Source organism: Homo sapiens, chromosome 5 (assembly GCF_000001405.40).
Source record: "Homo sapiens chromosome 5, GRCh38.p14 Primary Assembly".
Taxonomy (NCBI): domain Eukaryota; kingdom Metazoa; phylum Chordata; class Mammalia; order Primates; family Hominidae; genus Homo; species Homo sapiens.
In genome coordinates, this window is record NC_000005.10 from 2,588,761 (window position 1) to 2,593,996 (window position 5,236).

At 50.6% G+C, this 5,236-nt stretch overlaps 2 annotated features.

Annotated features, from left to right (window-relative positions):
• Window positions 2,914-3,474: an enhancer, noted in NCBI's record as "H3K4me1 hESC enhancer chr5:2591788-2592348 (GRCh37/hg19 assembly coordinates)". NCBI's record gives its function as "activates a minimal SCP1, AML or CMV promoter by ChIP-STARR-seq in naive H9 embryonic stem cells {active_cell/tissue: H9 hESC(naive)}" and the evidence as "EXISTENCE:reporter gene assay evidence [ECO:0000049][PMID:30033119]".
• Window positions 3,475-4,035: an enhancer, noted in NCBI's record as "H3K4me1 hESC enhancer chr5:2592349-2592909 (GRCh37/hg19 assembly coordinates)". NCBI's record gives its function as "activates a minimal SCP1, AML or CMV promoter by ChIP-STARR-seq in naive H9 embryonic stem cells {active_cell/tissue: H9 hESC(naive)}" and the evidence as "EXISTENCE:reporter gene assay evidence [ECO:0000049][PMID:30033119]".

Here is a 5,236-nt window from a genome sequence, read left to right on the forward strand (position 1 = left end):
AAGAAAAGGCCTCCGCAAAGAGGAGTTCAGATACAGTGGCGTTCTCAGCGATGGTTCCAAGATGCCACTGCCAGAAAACAATGGACATGCCATTTGACCCAAACAGGACAAAGGGAGAACAAATGTGTTTTACTCAATGCAATGAAAAAATAGGATACAATTTGATGTCCTTAATTTGGTGGCGCCTGAAGATAGAGCGAGTTCTCTTTGGAAAACGTGGTGTAGGGTACTCATCACCAACCCGGGTGGAGTGATGAGCGTGCCTCTGTGTACACTTGGGTGGGGCTGTCTAATTCATGTAATGTGGCTCAATCGGGCTCCCTTGATTTGCTGCCAGCAATATTCTCATTTCCGTTCTGAGCTCACACTCAGCAGAGACTTACCTATTTTATTAAGCTGGTTCATAGGGATTTGACTGCACAAAAACATTTAAGTGCTTTCAACTCTTCAAGGTCCCTCTCTCCATCTGTCTTTGACATACATATTCTATTTAGAATATGGGGTGATAGCCAGTCTGTTTTGGCCAGGCATGTCTGAATAAGCCACACCTTTCCAAATTTACATTCTAATATTGTGCATTATCTCCATCTAGCTCTGATGACAGAAGCAGACGTGGTTTCCACAGCAAGCATGACTTCAAGTTCTTCCTGTTTCTTAATTGGGCTTCAATTTGTTCTCAGTGCCAAATTTCCAAAGCTCCTACATTCTTTACTCACCGTTTTTGTCTTTCTATCAATCAGCTATTTCCCAGACTTAATCGAATGCTGATAAAGGGTGCAGAGTTTTGTGTCATGCGCTGTTAGGAGACACAGGTGAGGGAGGGCAGAGACAGAGAGAGAGAGAGAGAGAGAGAGAGAGAGAGAGAGAGAGAGAGAATATTTGCTCCTGTTGAGATAGGATACAAGGCCTGCCCATGATCACAAAACTTTATTTTGTACAGCATAATGGTAAAAGAACTGACAAGGCACAACAGATGACAGTGTAAATGAATTAGCAATTGTAAGACACCAGAGAGCCACAGTGACTTTCTACGAGGCATTTCCAAAAGTCTAAACATTTCCTAAACAACGATAGGCAAAACTAGTGAATAGAAAACTCCCCCATCAAACTGCAGGGCAAACTCAGACACCTGATCTTGTCTTTTAACCAGTTGATGAACGCCAATTTATGAAGACGTTCACAGCCTCAGCCACTGATGGCACTGCAAGTCACCTAACTGGGTTTGGTGGAAACTCTGCCCTAGAGATGGTCCCAGTGTGTCCTGGCTGCCATGAAGCCCATGGCCTGTGACACCAAGATGCTTGGGCAATGGACTTGGGGGATGCGGCTGCTTTCCCCAGGGCTCCCCAGATTGCCTGGGACCAGGGCCATGGGGAAGGCACAGGGCCAACAGATCATTATAGCAATTCAAACCGTGCATTGTGACTTGCTTTTTGTAAATGGTGATACCTATTTCCAAAAGTTCCTTTGAGGAAAGCACAGATGCAGGTGTGTAATATGGGTGGTGCCTTCCATGGACAACGCAGGGAAATTCTGCAATCAGTGACTTAAGAATAACTATGCCAGCCAGGTGCGGTGGCTCACGCCTGTAATCCGAGCACCTCAGGAGGCCGAGGCGGGCGGATCACCTGAGGTCTGGAGTTCGAGACCAGCCTGGCCAACATGGTAAAACCCTGTCTCTGCTAAAAATACAAAAATTAGCCAGGCGTGGTGGTGCGCGCCTGTAATCCCAACTACTGGGGTGGCTGAGGCAAGAGAATTGGTTGAACCCAGGAGGCGGAGGTTGCAGTGAACCGAGATCACAACACTGCACTCCAGCCTGGGCGACAGGGTGAGACTCCGTCTCAAAAATGAAAAAAAAAAAGGAAAGCAAACCTGCTCACCCACTAAGCCAGTGATTCCCAACTTCAACAAGCAAGCCAGTCGGGAAGAAAGCCCAGGAAGGTTCTGACCCAGGAGGGGTGGTCTGGGAGCCAAGAACCCACCTTTCTCAGTCACCAGGCAGTGCTGCGGCAGCTTACCTGGGAAGCACTTTGAATGCCACCGTCCATAGAATGGGCCTAGTGCCCCGGTGTCCCCTTCACACATCCTGTGAAAATCCCGGGGGTCCCGGACATTCTGACTTTCTCCATTCCCCACACCTCCCTTTCCCCAGTGAAAAAATCCCTGCTGAGCTCTGGGCACTGGAACTGAGGCAGGGACGTGAGGTCTCTGTGGTTCCCGTGTCCTGGAGGCTGGGCGGCTCACATCAGACCAGCAAAGGAGCTGCAGCAGCACAGCACAGCTGAGGCTCTGCAGACAGGAGGGGGCCTCAGGGGAGTCACCGAGGGGGTTGCAGAGAAGGGTGCCAGGCCCTGACAGATGAGGCAGGGAGCACAGGCGAGGGAGGGCAGAAACCTTGGAAGGTAGAAGAAGGCGTCGACCCCTGAGAGACCCGTGCTGGGAGCTGAGGCCCCAGCAGAGCCCATGTGGGTGACCCAGTGAGAGCAGAGGGTGGCGATGGGGCCTGAGGGGTCCCAGGGAGGAGCGCAGGGCTTATCCTGAGGTCCAGGGAGGTTGCGATGAATTTGAAGCAGCCTCGTGACGTGAACGTTCTTCAAAGGTCCCTCCAGAGGATGGTAGCGAGTCGCTGGAGGGGCAGAGTGGACGTGGAAGGATGGTCCAGGGGCTGCCCCAGGTAGGAGATGGCAGCTTGGACAGAGGGGAGGCTGTGCAGGTGAGAGGAGCAGGTCATTTGAGAGGCTATTCCAGCTAAAACCTTGGGAATGCTGTTGGGTTGGATATTGGGAATGCGTCAGGGGAAAGGAGGAAAAGGAAGGAGCTTCAGGCTTGAGCACCAGGGTAAGCGGTTGCCCAGGACCCAGGCTGGGCCTGGGGGTGTGAGGGTAATCCCACCTGTGTCTTACAAAGAGGGGCTGGGATACTGCAGACTTCCCTCATGCAATCTCTCTACTTCCAGAGATGGCCTTTTCCCAGTGTAGATTGAGACCATCAAACTCTAAAATCTAGGAGGCGTCCGCACCATGACACCAGAGGAGTGTGGCTGGTACGATGGCCCTAGACCTTGGACTTGGGAGCCTCCACCCCAATGTGCACACTGGAATTTGCAGAACTGTCCCCAGCAAAATGCAGCCAGGTCCACAGCCTCTGAGCAGCTGCCGGCAGCCCGTCCGGTGCAGACGCTGTCTGACTCTGCTTGGAGAGCGGAGAGCGGGACGCTGCCTGCACATGCTGTGGGTTTTGTCTCTGGGCAGCTGCCCTGGGACCCAGCACCCAGGATGCAGTTTGTTTATGGGTACAGATGAGCACAGAGATAACTACAGCGGGGGAATTAGACATGTTTTCTGGACATGTCTTGTAACACAGAAGCCTCAGAGATGCTAACAGCACAGGGAGTTCTAGGAAGAGGTGTTGAGAGCCGCCTGGGGCTCCGCACCTGCACAGCCTCCTCCTGGGCGTGGCCAGCCCTGCCCGCCTCCATTCACTTCCCCACATCAGCACTGACTGTGGGAGTCCTGCTACTGGCCCCGGGCCATCAGTCTCAGCGCTTAGCTCTAAAACTTTGGTCAAATTGGCAAAGCAAAGGGGCCCCTCTAAGCAGCCGGTGGCAGATTCCATGTCCTGCCTGGCCCTGCAGAGCCCCCTCTCCCGCCTCTCAGCTCGGCAGGGCCAGGCTGTCTCAGCCCTGCAAGAGAATCTGAAACACTCGGGCAGCACCACCCTGCAAAGGTCCTGAGCATTGTGTCATTAGACAGGGAGAGCACTGCGCTTACCTGTAAATGAGGTGTGGCCAAGTTTGGGCTTTGGAGCAGGAAGCAAGCTCATTCTGTTCTTGAGTGATGCTGCTTATGATTTAATATAAACTACGATACAAACATCGGAAAGTAACCCAAAGAACCATTTCCTCTTCTGAGACTTACACATAAATTATATATGCACCGTATACAAATAATACTACTAAAATTGAGCCTAAGAATTGATCTTCCAAGTATCCTGGGGTGGGGGGAAACAGGGTAAAATGAACTGCCTTTTTAGAAACATCGTAGTCTTCATCGATGCTACTTTTTATAGAGTACGACACATTTTACCCTTGGAGAGAAGGGTGCTGGTAGGGTGTGGAGGCTGAACGTGTAAGATTTCTTTTAATTGCATGAAACACATAACCCTTTAATAAGTTAATATGACGATGCCTCCAGGCCCTCCGCCGTATTCCTGTGAGGACGCATTGACCCACTTCCAGCCCACTCATCCATTTCTCTATAATGATGTCACTTCTAATTCACTTAACACTTTAATTAAACCAAACAAGCAACCTTGCCAGAGACGGATATCTTGTAAGGGATTTCTAATGACAACGAGTTTTGGAAGTGATTAATGTATGGACAGGTGTAAACCTTTCAACTTAATCATTCATTGGAATGATTTTAATTCATGGAGAAAGATAAAATGATATAGGTTGAAAATTACAACTCCAATCATTCAAAGTCTATTTGCCTCAAAGAAAGCCTGTGTGTGTTTCTGTGTGTGTGTGTGTGAGAGAGAGAGTGGTGTGTGTGTGTGTGGTGTGTGTGGTACATGTGTGGTATGAGTGCAGGGCGTGTATGTGTGGTGTGTGCATGGTTGTATATATGTGCTCTGTGTATGTGTGTGGGCTGTGTGTGTGAAAGTGCGGTGTGTGTGATGTGTGTGTGGTGTGTGTCTAAGAACACAGATGGGGTATTTCTCATCTGTGCGAGCTGTCTACCGGCCACACTCACAGCAGTCGGCAGTGTGGGTTAAGGGGGATTTGACTTTGCCTGAGAGCAGCAGCAGTTAGAAAGTTCAGAGCCACCCACTCCTGTAAACCAGGTTCCTTTCTCTACCTACAGAGTGAGAACAACTCTTTGGGGTGGGGGCCATGTCCCTTTTTTGCTGGAGAATCTGAATTTTCCACAAAAAAAGACCCTGAGTAGCAGATGGAGGCCTCCCAGCTCCTCACTCAGCCCCGCTGCCAGAGAAGCGTGGCTCTCCCGTGTTAGGCGGGGCCAAGAGGGCGCGGCGATGCCCCGGGCAGTGGCACACGCAGCACAGGGCCCCTCCACTTGGGACCAGGTTCAGAAGCAAGGCCCAGCCATTTCTGTCCAGGGCGCTCAGCTGAGCATGCTCTGATTGAGAAGGCAAGAGGTGCCACTTTTAAAAATAATTGAGATGTCTTCATTTAAACAACAACAAAGCCTAAAAGATGGGTTTCACTTGA